At 45.3% G+C, this 19,916-nt stretch overlaps 1 protein-coding gene across 16 annotated transcripts in view, besides 1 other annotated feature; it reads right to left on the reverse strand.

Moving 5' to 3' along the window:
- The window catches only part of ADAMTS17 (ADAM metallopeptidase with thrombospondin type 1 motif 17), a 370,539-nt gene that overhangs the window by 108,874 nt on the left and 241,749 nt on the right, over nucleotides 1-19,916 (reverse strand). For 12 of the 16 annotated variants that reach the window (XR_001751118.2, XR_001751120.2, XR_001751119.2 and 9 more), the window contains 2 exons: nucleotides 16,046-16,166; nucleotides 12,120-12,188 (listed from right to left, as the gene is read on the reverse strand). Coding sequence is in view for 13 of the 16 variants with exons in the window: in XM_011521312.3 (XP_011519614.1) it covers nucleotides 12,120-12,188; nucleotides 16,046-16,166 (190 nt within the window). In the remaining 3 variants the exon portion in view is untranslated. The remainder of the gene's footprint in view (nucleotides 1-12,119; nucleotides 12,189-16,045; nucleotides 16,167-19,916) is intronic. The other 4 variants (NM_139057.4, XM_005254872.4, XM_017021975.2 and 1 more) reach the window with 1 other exon arrangement.
- Nucleotides 3,976-4,476: an enhancer, noted in NCBI's record as "H3K4me1 hESC enhancer chr15:100624491-100624991 (GRCh37/hg19 assembly coordinates)". NCBI's record gives its function as "activates a minimal SCP1, AML or CMV promoter by ChIP-STARR-seq in primed H9 embryonic stem cells {active_cell/tissue: H9 hESC(primed)}" and the evidence as "EXISTENCE:reporter gene assay evidence [ECO:0000049][PMID:30033119]".

The raw sequence follows: 19,916 nt of genomic DNA on the forward strand, positions 1-19,916 counted from the left end.
AGAAGGGAGTTACAGTGTTGACTGGGGTGACTGACCTGGACTATCAAGATGAAATCAGTCTACTACTCCACAAAGGAGGTAAGGAAGAGTATGCATGGAATACAGGAGATCCATTAGGGCGTCTCTTAGTATCACCATGCCCTGTGACTAAGGTCAATGGGAAACTACAACAGCCCAATCCAGGCAGGACTACAAATGACCCAGACCATTCAGGAATGAAGGTTTGGGTCACTCCACCAAGAAAAAACCCACGTCTTGCTGAGGTGCTTGCTGAAGGCAAAGGGAATACAGAACGGGTAGTAGAAAAAGGTAGTTATCGATACCAGCTACAACCATGTGACCAGCTGCAGAAATGAAGTCTGTAATTATTTCCTCCTTTTTTTGCTAAAAACATGTTTGTGCATGTATACACTTGTACTAAGAAAGTATATTTCCTTTTCCTTTATCATGTGACATAACATTTATTGACTTCATATCAGCATGTTAAGTATTGTTAACTTTATGTAATAGTATTTGGGTTGGGGATTGGTGTATTTCTGGTTGTACGAAGGATAGCTGTAGTATGTTAGGGGTAATTATGACCTTATTATTGTCTTTATTTGAAGACTATGTGTGTTCTCAGGAGATGTGTATGGGTTCAAGTTGACTTGGGGTGGACTTGTGATGGTTGATACTGAGTGTCAACTTGATTAGATTAAAGGATACAAAGTATTGATCCTGGATGTGTCTGTGAGGGTGTTGCCAAAAGAGTTTAACATTTGGGTCAGGGGGCTGGGGAAGGCAGATCCACCCTTAATCTGGTGGGCACAATCTAATCAGCTGCCAGCAAATACAAAGCAGGCAGAAAAACATGAAAAGGAGAGGTGGGCCTAGGCTCCCAGCCTACATCTTTCTCCTGTGCTAGATGCTTCCTGCCCTGGAACATCAGACCCCAAGTTCTTCAGTTTTGGGACTGGGACTGGCTCTCCTTGCTCCTCAGCTTGCGGACAGCCTATTGTGGGATGTTGTGATTACGTAAGTTAATACTTAATAAACTCCCCTATATATATATGCACACATACATACACACACACTACTTAATAAACTCCCATATATATGTATGTGTGTATCTCCTCTACAGAACCCTAATACATGGCTGCATGACCTTGTGCTAAAACTCATTCAATCGCACACTTTAAATGGGTGAATTATATGGCATGTGAATTCTATCTTTATAAAGCTGCTTAGAAAAGAAACAATACTTCTATGAATGGCTTTGTACATGTCTTCTTATGCATAGATATAATGTCCTACCAGGTCAGCTACTGTGAGAATCACTGAGACAAACACAGGTGCTGCTTAGTTGACCTTGGTTTAAATACTATTTAAGCCAACCAACACTATACGAGAGTAAACGTTTACTCAAAGATTTCTAAATACTTGACAAAATCAATCTTCTTAGTATTTGCTAATCCATTTGGTGAAAAGATGTTGTCATAAGTTGAATTTGCATTTCCCTGATAACCAACAAGGCTCAGCGTCCTATACACTTATTGACCATTTGTTTTCCCTTTTCAGTTAATGGCCTTGTTCTTAAGCTTTGCCCATTTTTCTACCATCTTTTATTTAGTTATGATGCAGTAGTTTAAAAAATGTCCATAACATATATTACTATAATTTGATAATATTTGGACTCAGACTCTTTACTTACTAGACATGTTGCAAAAATTGTCAGTCTATCAGTCTATCATCTGTTGTTTCTTTGCTTTTATTGATTTTTTTGTTTTCTTTGAGACCAAGAGTCTTGCTTCTGTTGCCCAGGCTGGAGTGCAGCGGTGCAATCTTGGCTCACTGCAACCTTCGCCTCCTGGGTTCAAGCGATTCTCCTGCCTCGGCCTCCCGAGTAGCTGGGACTACAGGCACGTGCCACCACGCCCAGCTAATTTTTGTATTTTTGGTAGAGATGGGGTTTTACCATGTTAGCCAGGATGGTCTCCATCTCTTGACCTCATGATCCACCCACCTTGGCCTCCCAAAGTGCTGGGATTACAGGCGTGAGCCACCGTGCCTGGCCTTATTGCATGGTTTTGATAGTCTTTTTTTTTTTTTGAGACAGGGTCTCAGTCTGTTGCCCAGGATGGAGTGCAGTGGCGTGATCTCAGCTAACTGTAACCTCTGCACCCCCACCCCAGCTCATGCAATCCTCCTGCCCCCGCTTCCTGAGTAGTGGGGACTTCAGGCACACACCACCGTGTCTACCTGATTTTTTTGTATTTTTTGTAGAGGCAGGGTTTCGCCATGTTGCTCAGGCTGGTCTGATAGTCATATTTTTAATTTTTGAGATCTCTTTTTTGTTTTCTGATTGTTCCTTCCCATGGCATTCTGTTCTTGTTTTGTGGCTACGATATCATCTTAAATCTTTCTACAAATAGTTATTAGAGAACTTATATTATTTGAGTTACTTTTTCTCGTTAGTCTTTTTTTTTTTTTTTTCAGTTCATCTTGGTTTTTCTCATTTGTGTTGCAGACTCTCCTTCAAGAACCAGGAGGCTGCAGCTGGGTGGTCTCCCGTGGGGATGCGCAGGGTTTGCTTACTCTCAGGATTGGCTTTCTGCTGGGTGCAGGGAGCTGTTGCTGTGTTGGCAACCAAAATACCAGAATGAAGAGGCGTTTCCTAGAGGTGCTGTGTTGTGGGAAAACTCCTAGAGCTGCTGTGTTATGGTGCTGGCCACAAATATTTCCAAGTCTTTCTCTGGAAATATGGAAGTAACACATTTCACCGGCCACTTAAACGTGTGTGACCATGTGACTTGAAGAGTAAAATGTAAGTGAAAATGAGGTGTGTCGCTTCCCCGCAGGAGCCTGAAGCACCTCAGGGCCTGGTTTGCCATACTCCCTTTCCTTGCCAAGGTGACTGTGGCAGCCTGTGAACAGATAAAGTCTCTGCCAGCCTAGTTCCAGGAGTGACCTCACTCTGCAGGGCCTCCTGCTGACCCACAGTGTGCAAGCAGCAGGGGCTGGAAGCAGACTTTTGTGTTAAGCCACTGAGATCTAGGAGGCACTTTTACTTTAGTTTTGTTTGCTTGTTTATTTCAGCAAAACCAAGTATATTCATTCTGTTCCATCCATAGAGGAACTTCCACCTGAGATGTCCTTCTTCTCCCTAAACCTTTCAAGAAGTTCCTTTTCATTCATTTTCAGGTTATCTTTTGAAGACCTGAAAACAACCACATGTTCAATCATCCAGAAAGAAAGTTTCTCAGTCAGAAAGTTTAGCAGTGTCCTTCAGCCTTGACAGCAAATGCCTTGGCATTGTTACCACAGACCTAGCCTTGGATGTTTACAAATAAATGTCCTGCAGGATGTTTGGAGAGACTTCACAAATGTAAACAAAGTCTAGTTTGAGGGCAGTTGGTGCCTTATTGTTGTGCCCTGATCCCCAGGCAGTTGTGTGGTCATCTAGTATGATGCTTTCCAACCACATGTGACTTGGGAATAGTGATGCTGGCATGCCAGAGCAGCTGGCACTTGGCCCTTCCCCCTCCAGTGGCTCTAGAGCAAGGGCAAGGTTTTTGAGCCAAGATGACCAAATAGGAACAGCTCCAGTCTACAGCTCCCAGTGTGAGCGATGAAGAAGACGGGTGATTTCTGCATTTCCAACTGAGGTACTAGGTTCATCTCACTGGGGAGTGCTGGACAGTGGGTGCAGGACAGTGGGTGCAGTGCACCGTGAGTGAGCCGAAGCAGGGTGAGGCATCACCTCACCCGGGAAGTGAAAGGGGTCAGGGAATTCCCCTTCCTAGTCAAAGAAAGGGGTGACAGACGGCACCTGGAAAATCGGGTCACTCCCACCCTAATACCACACTCTTACAATGGGCTTAACAAATGGCACACTGGGAGATTATATCCCGCGCATGGCTGGGAGGGTCCCATGCCCACAGAGCCTCGCTCATTGCTAGCACAGCAGTCTGAGATCAAACTGCAAGGTGGCAGCGAGGCTGGGGGTGGGGTGTCCGCCATTGCCGAGGCTTGAGTAGGTAAACAAAGCCGCCGGGAAGCTCGAACTGGGTGGAGCCCACCACAGCTCAAGGAGGCTTGCCTGCCTCTGTAGACTCCACCTCTGGGGGCAGGGCACAGACAAACAAAAGGCAGGAGAAACCTCTGCAGACTTAAATGTCCCTTTCTGACAGCCTTGAAGAGAGTAGTAGTTCTCCCAGCATGCAGCTTGAGATCTGAGAACAGGCAGACTGCCTCCTCAAGTTGGGTCCCTGACCCCCGAGTAGCCTAAATGGGAGGCACCCCCCTGTAGGGGCGGACTGACACCTCACACGACTGGGTACTCCTCCAAGACAGAACTTCCAGAGGAACGATCAGGCAGCAGCATTTGCAATTCACCAATAGGCGCTGTTCTGCAGCCACTGCTCCTGATACCCAGGCAAACAGGGTCTGCAGTGGAACTCCAGCAAAATCCAACAGACCTGTAGCTGAGGGTCCTCACTGTCAGAAGGAAAACTAGCAAACAGAAAGGACATCCACACCAAAAACCCATCTGTACATCACCATCATCAAAGACCAAAGGTAGATAAAACCACCAACATGGGGAAAAAACAGTGCAGAAAAACTGGAAACGCTAAAAATCGGAGCGCCTCTCCTCCTCCAAAGGAACACAGCTCCTCACCAGCAATGGAACAAAGCTGGATGGAGAATGACTTTGATGAGCTGACAGAAGAAGGCTTCAAAAGATCAAACTACTCCAAGCTAAAGGAGGAAGTTCGAACCCATGGCAAAGAAGTTAAAAACCTTGAAAAAATATTAGATGAATGGCTAACTAGAATAACCAATGCAGAGAAGTCCTTAAAGGACCTGAGGGAGCTGAAAGCCATGGCACAGGAACTACGTGACAAATGCACAAGGCCTCAGTAGCCGACGTGATCAACTGGAAGAAAGGGTATCAGCGATGGAAGATGAAAGAATGAAATGAAGTGAGAAGAGAAGTTTAGAGAAAAAAGAATACAAAGAAACGAACAAAGCCTCCAAGAAATATGGGACTATGTGAAAAGACCAAATCTACATCTGATTGGTGGACCTGAAAGTGACGAGGAGAACGCAACCAAGTTGGAAAACACTCTGCAGGATATTATCCAGGAGAACTTCCCCAATCTAGCAAGGCAGGCCAACACTCAAATTCAGGAAATATAGAGAACACCACAAAGATACTCCTCGAGAAGAGCGACTCCAAGACACATAATTGTCAGATTCACCAAAGTTGAAATCAAGGAAAAAATGTTAAGGGCAGCCAGAGAGAAAGGTCGGGTTACCCACAAAGGCAAGCCCATCATCAGACGAAGAGCTGATCTCTCGGCAGAAACTCTATAAGCCAGAAGAGAGTGGGGACCAATATTCAACATTCTTAAAGAAAAGAATTTTCAAGCCAGAATTTCATATCCAGCCAAACTAAGCTTCATAAGTGAAGGAGAAATAAAATATTATACAGACAAGCAAATGCTGAGAGATTTTGTCACCACCAGGCCTGCCCTACAAGAGCTCTTGAAGGAAGCACTAAACATGGAAAGGAACAACTGGTAACAGCCACTGCAAAAACAAGCCAAATTGTAAAGACCATCAAGGCTAGGAAGAAACTGCATCAACTAATGAGCAAAATAACCAGCTAATATCATAATGACAGGATCAAATTCACATATAACAATATTAACCTTAAATGTAAATGGGCTAAATGCTCCAATTAAAAGACACAGACTAGCAAACTGGATAAAGAGTCAAGACCCATCAGTGTGCTGTATTCAGGAAACCCACCTCATGTGCAGAGACACACATAGGCTCAAAATAAAGGGATGAAGGAAGACCTACCAAGCAGATGGAAAACAGAAAAAGGCAGAGGTTGCAATCCTAGTCTCTGATAAAACAGACTTTAAACCAACAAAGATTAAAAGAGACAAAGAAGGCCATTACATAATGGTAAAGGGATCAATTCAACAAGAAGAGCTAACTATCCTAAATATATATGCACCCAATACAGGAGCACCCAGATTCATAAAGCAAGTCCTTAGTGACTAGAAAGAGACTTAGACTCCCACACAATAATAATGGGAGACTTTAACACCCCACTGTCAACATTAGACAGATCAACGAGACAGACAGTTAACAAGGATATCCAGGAATTGAACTCAGCTCTGCACCAAGCAGACCTAATAGACATCTATAGAACTCTCCACCCCAAATCAACAGAATATACATTCTTCTCAGCACCACACCACACTTATTCCAAAATTGACCACTTAGTTGGAAGTGAAGTACTCCTCAGCAAATGTAAAACAACAGAAATTATAACAAATTGTTTCTCACAGTGCAATCAAACTAGAACTCAGGATTAAGAAACTCACTCAAAACCGCTCAACTACATGGAAACTGAAAAATATGCTCCTGAATGACTACTGGGTACATAACAAAATGAAGGCAGAAATAAAGAGGTTCTTTGAAACCAATGAGAACAAAGACACAACATACCAGAATCTCTGGGACACATTCAAAGCAGTGTGTAGAGGGAAATTTATAGCACTAAATGCCCACAAGAGAAAGCAGGAAAGATCTAAAATTGACACCCTAACATCACAATTGAAAGAACCAGAGAATCAAGAGCAAACACATTCAAAAGCATGCAGAAGGCAAGAAATAACTAAGATCAGAGCAGAACTGAAGGAAATAGAGACACAAAAAACCCTTCAAAAAATCAATGAATCCAGGAGCTGATTTTTTGAAAAGATCAACAAATTGATAGACCACTAGCAAGACTAATAAAGAAGAAAACAGAGAAGAATCAAATAGACACAATACAAAATGATAAAGGGGATATCACCACTGATCCCACAGAAATACAAACTACCATCATATCTTATAAACACCTCTACACAAATAAACTAGAAAATCTAGAAGAAATGGATAAATTCCTCAACACATACACCCTCCCAAGACGAAACCAGGAAGAAGTTGAATCTCTGAATAGACCAATAACAGGCTCAAAAATTTAGGCAATAATTAATAGCTTACCAACCAAAAAATGTCCAGGACCAGATGGATTCACAGCCGAATTCTACCAGAGGTACAAGGAGGAGCTGGTACCATTCCTTCTGAAACTATTCCAATCAATAGAAAAAGAGGGAATCCTCCCTAACTCATTTTATGAGGCCAGCATCATCCTGATACCAAAGCCAGGCAGAGACACAACCAAAAAAGAGAATTTTAGACCAATATCCTTGATGAACATTGAAGCAAAAATCCTCATTAAAATACTGGCAAACCGAATCCAGCAGCACATCAAAAAGCTTATGCACCATGATCAAGTGGGCTTCATTCCTGGGATGCAAGGCTGGTTCAACATACACAAATCAAGAAACGTAATCCAGCATATAAACAGAACCAAAGACAAAAACCACATGATTATCTCAATAGATGCAGAAAAGGCCTCTGACAAAATTCAGCAATGCTTCTTGCTAAAAACTCTCAATAAATTAGGTATTGATGGGACGTATCTCAAAATAATAAGAGCTATCTATGACAAACCCACAGCCAACATCATACTGAATGGGCAAAAACTGGAAGCATTCCCTTTGAAAAGTGGCACAAGACAGGGATGCCTTCTCTCACCACTCCTATTCAACACAATGTTTGAAGTTCTGGCCAGGGCAGTCAGGCAGGAGAAGGAAATAAAGGGTATTCAATTAGGAAAAGAGGAAGTCAAATTGTCCCTGTTTGCAGATGACATGACTGTATATCTAGAAAACCCCACCATCTCAGCCCAAAATCTCCTTGAGCTGATAGGCAACTTCCGCAAAGTCTCAGGATACAAAATCAATGTACAAAAATCACAAGCATTCTTATACACCAATAACAGACAAACAGAGAGCCAAATCATGAGTGAACTCCCATTCACAATTGCTTCAAAGAGAATAAAATACCTAGGAATCCAATTTACAAGGGATGTGAAGGACCTTTTAAGGAGAACTACAAACCACTGCTCAATGAAATAAAAGAGGATACAAACAAATGGAAGAACATTCCATGCTCATGGGTAGGAAGAATCAATATTGTGAAAATGGCCATACTGCCCAAGGTAATTTATAGATTCAATGACATCTCCATCAAGCTACCAATGACTTTCTTCACAGAATTGGAAAAAACTACTTTAAAGTTCATATGGAACCAAAAAAATAGCCCGCATCGCCAAGTCAATCCTAAGCCAAAAGAACAAAGCTGGAGGCATCACACTACCTGACTTCAAACTATACTACAAGGCTACAGTAACCAAAACAGCATGGTACTGGTACCAAAACAGAGATATAGACCAATGGAACAGAACAGAGCCCTCAGAAATAATACCACACATCTACAACTATCTGATCTTTGACAAACCTGACAAAAACAAGAAATGGGGAAAGGATTCCCTATTTAATTAATGGTGCTGGAAAAACTGGCTAGCCATATGTAGAAAGCTGAAACTGGATCCCTTCCTTACACCTTATACAAAAATTAATTCAAGATGGATTAAAAACTTACATGTGAGACCTAAACCAGAAAAACCCTAGAAGAAAACCTAGTCATTACCATTCAGGACATAGGCATGGGCAAGGACTTCATGTCTAAAACACCAAAAGCAATGGCAACAAAAGCCAAAATTGACAAATGGGATCTAATTCAACTGAAGAGCTTCTGCACAGCAAAAGAAACTACCATCAGAGTGAACAGGCAACCTACAGAATGAGAGAAAATTTTTGCAATCTACTCATCTGACAAAAGGCTAATATCCAGAATCTACAATGAACTCAAACAAATCTACAAGAAAAAAACAACCCCATCAAAAAGTGGGCAAAGGATATGAACAGACACTTCTCAAAAGAAGACATTTATGCAGCCAAAAAACACATGAAAAAATGCTCATCATCACTGGCCATCAGAGAAATGCAAATCAAAACCATAATGAGATACCATCTCACACCAGTTAGAATGGCAATCATTAAGTCAGGAAACAACAGGTGCTGGAGAGGATGTGGAGAAATAGAACACTTTTACACTGTTGGTGGGATTGTAAACTAGTTCAACCATTGTGGAAGACAGTGTGGCGATTCCTCAGGGATCTAGAACTAGAAATAACATTTGACCCAGCAATCCCATTACTGGGTATATACCCAAAGGATTATAAATCATGCTGCTATAAAGACACATGCACACATATGTTTATTGTGGCACTATTCACAATAGCAAAGACTTGGAACCAACCCAAATGTCCAACAGTGATTGACTGGATTAAGAAAATGTGGCACATATACACCATGGAATACTATGCAGCCATAAAAAATGATGAGTTCATGTCCTTTGTAGGGACATGGATGAAGCTGGAAACCATCATTCTCAACAAACTATCACAAGGACAAAAAACCAAACACCGCATGTTCTCACTCAAAGGTGGGAATTGAACAATGAGAACACATGGACACAGGAAGGGGAACATCACACACTGGGGACTGTTGTGGGGTTGGGGGAGGGGGGAGGGATAGCATTAGGAGATATACCTAATGTTAAATGACGAGTTAATGGGTGCAGCACACCAAGATGGCACTTGTATACATATGTAACAAACCTGCCTGTTGTGCACATGTACCCTAGAACTTAAAAGTATAATAATAAAATTAAAAAAAAAAAAAACAAAATAAAATTCAGAAATAAATTGGAAAAAAAATTGTGTTTGCTCTAGGATTCCTTCTCTACTGAAAAATTCTGGCCACAAGAAAACCAGCTTTTAGGATTGTGGCACAAAATATTCTACAGCAAATCTCTCTTAGAGAAATCCATTCCTTCTGGGGAGTTTCAACTGTGATTGGATTCCAGGCATATGGAATCCAAGGCAGTAAAATGTCAAAAACTGAGATAAAAGTTGTTCGGGGTCAAAGTGATTAGAATCTTTTTCAGAGGAATCTCCACTCAAACTACCAAACATACCTGCAAACAAGATCCGCTTGTGGGGGATGAGCTGTTCTTGAAGGAAGCTGCTGTTGTATGGAAACTTTTGCAACTAACAAACCTTGGCATTGGGATCACCGATCTGCAGAATCCGACAGAGCTGATGGGGCCCTGATCAATTCCTTTCCCTCATTCCACAGCAAGGTCCCTGTGCAGCTGATGCATGGTATCCACATCTATTCTTAAGCTTAACTTTGCCACAGGATGCATCAGTGAAAAGACATCCGTTTTCTGTCTTTTCTCATGTGCCCCTGGTGGAGGTGCTGATGAAAGGCAGTTCAGGGCGGACTCGGTACCCAAGTGAGCCCACCCTCAGGTGACCTCTCAACGCAGGGCAGTCCTTATGCATGCGCTCTGCTAACCGTCCTACGACAAGTTTCTCTGTTCATGATAAAAAGGAAACCAGCTGGGCGCAGTGGCTCACGCCTGTAATTCCAGCACTTTGGGAGGCTGAGGCGGGTGGATCATGAGGTCAGGAGTTCAAGACTAGCCTGAACGACACGGTGAAACCCCATCTCTACTAAATAATACAAAAAATTAGCCAGGTTTGGTGGTGCATGCCAGTAATCTCAGCTACTCAGGAGGCTGAGGCGGGGGAATAGCTTGAACCCGGGAGGCGGAGGTTGCAATGAGCCGAGATCGTGCCACTGCATTCCAGCCTGGGAGGCAGAGTGAGACTCCGTCTCAACAAAAAAAAAAAAAAAAAAGGGTAACCAATGAAAAAGACAGTCCCTGAACTGAAAGGCAGGCCCTCTGTCCACAAACCGGGGAAACTGCCTCGAGCTCACAGTCCTCCAACCCCTGCTCTGACCCAGAGCTCAAAGTCCACCTGAGGCAGGTGTGAAGAGCCACCAAGAAGGGAAAGAGTACCACCACCAAGTCCCAAAGCACCCTGGCGTCTCTCAGGCCAGATACCCCCGATGTGGATGCCAGATACCACCACACTGCCGAAGCATGAAGAATAATTATGAGGTAGGATTTACTCTCAGAATTTACAAGGTAGATTCACATTTTAGGTAAGGCTTTATCTTTGGAGTGATTTCCCATTCCAGCTTCAGCCACCAAGCAGGAGAAATCCAGTTACAGGAACATGATTTGGTTTCATGAGGAAGCCATGGATAAAATCCAATGCCTTTGCCGTGGTTCCAGGAGAACATGCCATTTCTGCCCTAAGGACCAGCAGTAAGAAGGAACTTCAAAGTGATGTTGACCTTTAACCTGTCTCAAATCTTCCAGAGTTACTATTACTAGGCTATGAGCAATTTCCCTGTGAAGTCATTTGTGTCTGAATTTCTCAAGTAGACTTGCTGTGAGATGTCTTGGGGCTCCCATTTTTCCTCATGTTTTCAGGAGCATTAACCATCTTTGGAAGAAAACCATCGGACTGAAAAGGTACCATGATGGACTAGAGGTAAAACTCTGGCTACGTGTACTTGGACTCTTTCCCCTGAAATCAGAGTTCTTTTTTTTTGTTTAGTAAATAGATCATAAAATATTTGGAGAGGCATTTGTTTTATTTTTCTCTTCTTACAAAAGTTATTCACAAGAATATTACTATCTTACGTTTCTCCCTAATGGTGGTTCCTGGGTCTAATGGAAAAGAACTCATTGTTTGGGAAACCCGTGAGGCTAGACTGTGCCTTGGTTCGCCCCTCAGAATGGGAGGTCAGTGTAGACAAACGAAGACCAGAAGGGTGTTACCAAATGCCCCTCTGCCTGTAGGGACACCAGTCCTGAAATATGAAAACTTTTCTATGGAAGAAGGTGCCAGCGAAGGCTAAATTCTCTGGCATGTCTAGGTATTTTCTGCCAGAGCACACGGTGTGCTTGAGGGGAAAGAAAACTTACCCCCAGCAGGCTAGGGTACGTTTCCATTTGACTCTGTCTTTTATAGCTTTAAAATTGGTTTCATCTTACAGTTTTTCTGATGGTAATCAGTCTTCAACGTCAGTTTATGTAAGCATTTAATGGCCTCTGAGTTTATCCATGGCTTCGCACACAACTTACTCCCATTGATTCTATTCAGAAAACACTCAGACGCGTGAGCCAGGCAAGAGCCACACCAAGCATGTCACTGCTGGGACGACACGTAACATCCAGCATCTTACATGAGAAACACTTGGGAACAGCCTCTGCCATCACACATGTGGATACCTTCGTACAGAGATCATTCTTAACTGAGAAAAAGAAATACGTTGTAATTGGTTTATGTGCACATTTTACGATTCTTCATCACAGTGTAAAGAAGCCTCATTTTGTACCATAAGCCCCAACAGTGAATTTCCGCCCCCACGAGATTCCACACCCCACACTACACAGAGCATGGAACCTGGCATGTGGCAGGGGCTCTAGAGGTAATTACTGAACAAATATGTGACACATGGATCTATCCACATTCAAAAGGGATCCTCACCCCACCCTTTCTTTTAAGGATTACGTGAAAAGGTTCTCGCAAGAACACAAAGCAAAGGGATCCGAAGCCCACAGGTATCCTTGGCTGGTTCTCAGTGAGGACTTCAGTCCAGGTGTGTCCTGGCTGTCCATGGGCTGGTCACCTGGAGACTGACCAGCCACCTTTTTAGTGCCAAGGAGCAGGGCGGAATAAAGATAATATTGTTAAAATGGCAATTTAATGAAATGAAAGCATCATACTCAAATTACTAGGTTCAGATAACTCAGCTGTCTTGAGCCAGCCCAAGGCATGAGCATTTTGAAGCCCATCCATCAGAAAAGCAATATGATAGCCAAGTTGAGTTGATTCCTTCCATAGATAAGTAGCTGAGGACCTCATTTGTTCAAAGTTTGGAAGCAACAGGCTGGAGGGCGATAAACGCCCTACACTCAGGATGCCACTTCCCCTGGTGCCACACTGGGACCTGTCATGACAGAGAGGGAGATTTGGCTCTGCTGGGCTGGACACTTCGCCACGTGTGGGTCTGCCCTGGATTCTCAGCTCAGGAACTTTGGTAAGAGGACCCACAGGAGTTCAGGCAGGGGTCAGGACTTCACAAAATTGGGCAAAAATCCAGCATTTGATTCCGCTTTATCTTTCTGGTGTGGAGTTTCTCTTTGATATTCACCGTTAAGGGTGATAAGGCACTCCTCCTTCCCTCATTCTTTAGGGGCAAGCAGAGATGAAAGTCAGCTTCCTATCTAAACTGATAGGCCTGGTGAATCCACCCACTCAGCTGCACTTGGCGTCACCAAGATGCCTCTTGACCTGGGGGCTTTCTACGATTTCCATGCTGGGTCTCGCAAGGATATGTTTCCCCTTCAGCCTGAAGTGTCCTCCCCCTACCCCCACTATCAGCTGATTTCTACTTGTCCTTTAGTGCTGGGGGCCACCCTCAGCTTTTGGAGGCCTAGGTCTGGTGCCCCACCAGAACCTGGGGTCTCACAACACGCCTGCTGGGCTGCCTCCACCTCATGCTCACATAGGCTGATGCTGTCTGTTTGCCCGGGGGTCCCCTCCCTCGACTGTACCTGGGGTGGGGACAATAACTTATTTCTGTATACCTAGCGGTTAAAATGTAGTCATGCTGCATAAATAACCATTGCGTGATTGGGCTTGGGGGTAACCATTTGTATCTCTAAAGTGCATTCCAGTATGTCAGACCATGATGACAAGTTTGTGCTGAATGAAACTATACTAGATAGGCAGCCAGTGACTCATTCTTGTGCAAATGAGTACTGCAGGCAGATTTTCAATATATACAATCCACATGGATGTGGGCTCGTGGTCACAGACTCCAGCTGTGAGGATTTGAAAAACAAAAAACTGCTGTGTACCTTAAAATGAATGTGTGACAATTGGCAATCACTCAGAATGACAGTCCAGGTAGGTGAAGCGAACGTGTGCTTATTTTTGCCTGAAGGTTTGCTGAGGCTTCTGTGCCTTGGCAGCTGGAAGGACACACACTAGGCTGCAAGCCAGGGTGGGAGCAGCTACCCAAGGAGGCTTCCAGTATGGTCCATCCTTCCATGGGGGACTCACTGTCATGGCCACAGGGGTCTGACCTCACATTCCAGACAGGGATGTGGCCCAGGCCGGAGTGGATGGAGAAGGGAAAGGGGTGAGCAGGAGAGGAGGACATTACTGTGGCCAGATGAACAGGTCTGCCTAGGTCAAATCAAGGGCTGGTATACAGATCAGAGTCTGGGTAAAGGAAGACCACTTTTGACCTTAATCTGGGTTATCTCAGAAGTGAGATCCTATGTTAGTTAGATGTGTGGTAGAACTTTCCTTAGTGTTCTACATACAGAGTTGCCCAGGGTTGGCGATGGGAGTGGGCCTGGCTGTACCTGACTTGTCTTCTACAGAATCACGCACTTGTAGTCAGTTCTCTTTATGGGAGCTCAGTACAATGTTCAATTTAATAAACAAAGGGTTCCAATGCTTCCATTAAAAAAGAAAAGCCAACAGTAAGTAGTAATCCTTTACCAACTGCAGGAGTTTTGCTCCTAAATGTTGCCTCAGCAGCAATAGGCAAGGTCAAATTCTCATGGGAGCCCAGGAGCTGGGGTACCAATAGAGAAAATGGCATTAAGTATGTCAAAACCAGTAGCAGAAATGGGCAACGCTCTGGAGCTGTGCTGTCCAATAGAACCTTCTGGAATGCTGGGAATATTGTCTGCCTGTGCTGCCCAACACAGGAGCCGCTGGCCGTGTGCAGCAACGGAGTACTCAAAATTTTCCCAGTGAGATGGAAAGATGAACTTTTAAGTTGGTTTCATTTTAATGAATTACAGTTTGGATCGTCTCCAGGGGCCAGTGGCTGCTGAACTGGACAGTGTAGCTACGGAGGCCACTTTCCCCCAAACCAACCTGCTCCTGCCTCTCCTTTCTCTGTTGACCTCAGGAGCCACGTGGCAGGCACAGCTTCTCACACTAAGCTCCGTGCCTCACTGACTAGGTACCCATCTTTAAAATCCACCTGAAATTTCATTTTTAAGTTTCATTTTGCATTTGCATTTCCTCTGGTTTTGCTTTCACAGGGTCCTGCAAAATGTTGGCGCAGTAGGCTGTCTTTCCCGCAGGCATCTAGAAGGAACGTTTCTTCCAGACCAGGTTTCCTATCCACACAGAGAAAAGTGGAGAGGAGAGCATGCCTCACCTTACGGGGCTGTTCTGTGAGACAGGGAGGCATAAATGTGCTTCTGTTCTCTTGTTGGGGGAAAATGAACTGAGAAGCTTCTATGCAGAGCAACTTGTGGAAATTAAAATAAGTTTCTCAGCTTCTTCCTCCCAACACAAGTTCTCCTGGTGATGGGGGGTGAGTGCACACTCGCTAAGGCTGCCAGAGCTCCCTCTCCAGCTGGCTTGCCTGCCTCGTGCTCCCCTCACTAGGTGTCAACTACAGACGCTTTCTTAAACATTGTCCTCCAGGACAGGAGATCAGAAAGTTGTGTCCCATGTAAGACAAAGCAGCCTGCAGCTGCAAAAACCATGCAAGCAGAAAGATGAAGCCGGCCCATCAACCGAATCCTGGCATCCCTCTCTAGGGACAGTGCTAAGGAATGTCTGCCCCTGGGGACCAGGAGGCTCAGGTACTCCGGAGTCACAGCTGGCAGTGGCACCTGAGACCTTCCAGACTGTACGGCTTCATGCACGTTTTAGAAATGTGTTATCCTACTTTTACTAACAGAAAATTCAAACACAGAGCAAACGTCTTCCATCGACAGGTAAAATGATTTGGCAGGTGTCTCTCCCACCTTCTCTGCCTGTGCATCAGAAGGCGAGATGCCAGGAAGTGCTGAGCTCCTGGCCCAGGGCAGCTACCAGTGATTCATGGACCTCAGGCTAAGTGGGGAGCTGTTTCCGTTCATGGCAAACTATTCACTACTAGCAACGTGAAGGCATCATTCTTGCTAAAATGTCCTTTCTTGCTTTTCAGAAATGAAACTGAAGTTCCAGGTCACCTATCCACTACCATCTAGCCCTTAAATATGAAATGTAGGGAAGACTGCAATCAATAGCTGTAGGCAAAGGACACAAAACACTGTAGCCACAGCAGCCCCATGGGCCAACACTCACCTGTCCCCCGGGCGTGGCTGAAGTCGCCCTTCACCAAGTGGCAGGTCTTGCCGTCCCCGCTGCAGACCCCGCATCTGTCCTCTTTGGCTGCAGACCCGATGATGCCGTCACAGCCGATTTTCTAAAGAACCAGAGGGCCTCATTATTCTGTGGTTAAGACTCAGAGGAGTTTTAAAGAGGCTGCCCTGCAAGGCTAACTTTTCCATGAGGTGCAGCATACATGGGGCCTGGGGCCCTGATCCATTCAGAGGCCCAAGAAAATATTTTAATTCAGGAGAGAAAAAAGATGCACAGAATCCAACCTAGATTATATTTGTCTTTATACCCGCATAGCTGTAAAGTCTATTTTTTGGTATTTGTTCTGGAGGGAGATCCATGAAGGCACAAGTGCCCATGGGGGTCACGCTGAGGCCTGACGCCCTGACTGCCTGGGGGCAGAGACCCTGGGGAGAGAGTGAAGCCTGAACCCTCACACCAGCAGGTGCAGCCACAATTTCTCATGATGGGGGTTCCCCTCTAGGCTGTGGGGGTCACCTGCAACTTGGCTGAAACAACCAGTAGTCTCAGAACATACAACAGAAACCACAGACTTTTCTAACAAGGTAGGGATGCCCACAGCTCATTCAGGCAGGGCTTGGCACGGGCCCCTCTTTTCTCAGGTAGGAAGACCTAGTCTATGAAGAGCCCCATCTCTCATACCTTTTCAACAAGGCACGTCTGAGAGCAGAGGAGAGGCTGCCTCTACCCTAGGTGGATCTGAGAAGCACAGCCTGTTTTCTAAAAAGCAGAAAAAGGTTTTGGACTCTTTTTTTCTTTTTTAAAAAAGTGAGAATTTTGTATCCTGCAAAATAACCTAAATTTATACTGAACATTGGGTAATTATTTACTAGCCACATTGCCTAAATGTCCCTCCACATTTTCCCCCTATAAAGCTAATGCTTCCAGAACAAGAACTGGGTTTTTCCTACTGCCCTGCACCCCAGATTACATATTGGCACTTCAGACTCCAAAGGGATCTACAGCCAGAACTCAAGAAATCAAGATGCAAGATAATCCTGGTGGAGGTGAGTTAGCCCCTTCCCGTGATGCCTGGACGAGAAGCAGCACCGTGCTTCCCCCTCACAGGTACTCCCACCTGCAGGCAGGGCTTAGAGCTAGCACAGCGCCTCGGGTGCCAGGCTGGCTGCACGCGCATCCCTGGAGGCAAGTGCCTGGCCCCACAACTCCCCAAAGACATCAGCATCCTCTGTTCATCATGGCAGCAGTTCTCCAACTTAAGTGTGCATCGGCCTCATGGGGAGGGCTGTTAAAACACAAACTGCTCTGTCCCAGCCCTAGAGTTTCTGACCCAGCAGGTCTGGGTGCACCTGAGAATGTGCATTTCTAATCGGCTCCCAGGAGATGCTGAGGCTGCTTGCCGGGGCCATGCGATGAGAACCGCTGCATCATGGCATGCTACTCAAAGGAATAGGTGAATGCTCTTCATATTTAGTAATCCTCAGGTCTCATCCTCGGAGCCTTTTATTTTTTTGAAAAAGATCTAATGGGAAATTACTATTGTTCTGTCCAAAAATGATAGCATAACTGGACAGATTCCAGAGAAGACTTTTAGATGTTCTAAAAGCTGAGCAAGTTGAGTCTAAAAATGACCATGATGAAATCTGAAAAAGGGCAGAGCTTGAATAAAAGATCAAACTTGTTCAAAGTTAGTATAAAAAGAGGAAAAGGGTAAAATTGAAGGCTTTAGTGGCCAGAGGACAGCAAGGAGCAAATGGATAACAGTGGGCTTGATGGTGGCTGGGGAGATGTAGGTAACACATCAAGACACATATGGTAACTGGCAACCAACTGCAATGCTTTGCCGGGGCTGACCATCCAGTAGTGACCTGGAGGGAAGCCAGCTGTGATGAGGCACCGTGAGCCTGGAGCGCAGTGCAGGGCTGCCTAGATTCTCGGTGTGGACTGCTAGCCAGCTGCTATCAAGTTGCTCAGTATAAAGATTACAGGGGCTGGCCCGGTGCGGTGGCTCACGCCTGTAATCCCAGCACTTTGGGAGGCTGAGGTGGGTGGATCATGAGGTCAGGAGTTCAAGACCAGCCTGGTCAACATGGTGAAACCCCGTCTCTACTAAAAATACAAAAATTAGCTAGGCATGGTGGCACGCACCTATGGTGACACGCACCTGTAGTCCCAGCTACTCAGGAGGCTGAGGCAGGAGAGTAGCTTGAACCTGGGAGGCGGAGGTTGCAGTGAGCTGAGATTGCGCCACTGCACTCCAGCCTGGGCAACAGAGCAAGAGTCCGTCTCAAAAAAAAAAAAAATTATAAGGGCTAAGAATAAAGAGTAGCCAAGATCAGAAAATGTCCCCCAGCAGTGTTTAGCAAACGCCGAGACCAAATCTGTGAGACCACGTGTCTGTTGCTTTGTTTCACTTCAGAGCTCCAGTGCATGGTCTCCAGACTTGCTTCTGCTGGGGCCACAGGGCCAATGCCCACAGAGCTGGTCTCTCCCACTGGCCTCTTTCCTGGCACCTGTTCCAGCTCCCACCTGGGCTTTCTCATCTCAGGTGCCCTCTGCTGTAGACATTCCTTACACTGGCTTCCTATAATTTTCAAACCACACCCTTGCTTGGTAGGAGTGAGTCTCTGGCTTCAGGCCTGGTTCCTTGTCCTGCACCTCAGTTAAGGTTTCCTGATTCAACAGCTTCTAGATGCCCCATTTGGTCCAGTTTCCTCCAGCCCCAAAGAAGGGGGCTTTTCAGGGCAGGTGCAAACAGGAATGCATACAGCGTTGCCCTTTCAGTTAATTCTGGAGACCATCCAGGGGCTGGGACAGGTCCATGGGTTCTGCCCACTCTACTTGGTGTTATTTTAGAGGCTGTCTGCATCTGGAGACAGGGAATGCAGGGCTGTCCATGTCTGAACAGCAGTGACTCTAAATGCTGACGGGTGACAGCCACAAAATCTGCGAACGGGGGCATTTTCTTCCATTGTTTCAGTCAGCGCAAGCAACTTATAATCTTGGCAGAAACTGGGATGGTTTTCAAATGGAAGCTGCCATAGGACACAACTGAAGTCATTAATTCTGAATATTAGGGGAGCTTTGATGATTGTATTTATGAGGCTTGGTGTTCCAAGAGAACAAGATGACCAAGCCTGAGGAAACTCCAGGCAATAAACTCTCTCAAGTCTTCCCATGTTATCCTGGTGATCCTTAGTTACTTTCCTAGGAATCTTCATCACCCATTTCTCAGCTTTCAAAGCAGGGCTTCAAGTTCCTGGCCAGCATTTGCTGGTCGCGCCCTGTGCCTCTGGCTAAGTCAGGGTGTATGTGACACCAAAGGACCAAGGAACAATGTCCCACGGCATAATTAAAGGCATGGGATGGTATGAGATGGTATGAGATGGGATGGAACGGGGGGAAAAGCACAAGTTCTTCATTGGTCAAGACAGCTCCTGAGAAACATGCAGAAAGTGCTTGGAAAAGCTTTAGTGCTCAGATCCGTGTGCTGAGGAGGGCACAGGATGGGCCGTGGACAGTGGCAAATGTCCATCTTTAGCTGTCTGAGTCCTGGATTCCACCCTGGAACTTTGCCCCTGTTGAAGATAACCAGGGACAACAGCCTCCTGGTCATCACACCTAGTGGACGTGTCTCCAGCCTCATCTTTCACCTCCTGCTCTACAGCGTCCGCTGTGTGTAACGCCCACCCTGTCTCTGTTGTGCATGTATTGATTCACCCGTGGTGCCTGTTATGTGCCTAACCTGGAAATAAAGACATGTAAGATGGAGGGAGACGCCAGTGCGGAAACAAGCAGACACCCCAGAGTGTGTGCTAAAGATGCCCTGGAAGCCAAGGATGGCTCCTGTCTG

Source organism: Homo sapiens, chromosome 15 (assembly GCF_000001405.40).
Source record: "Homo sapiens chromosome 15, GRCh38.p14 Primary Assembly".
In the NCBI taxonomy this organism is placed as follows: domain Eukaryota; kingdom Metazoa; phylum Chordata; class Mammalia; order Primates; family Hominidae; genus Homo; species Homo sapiens.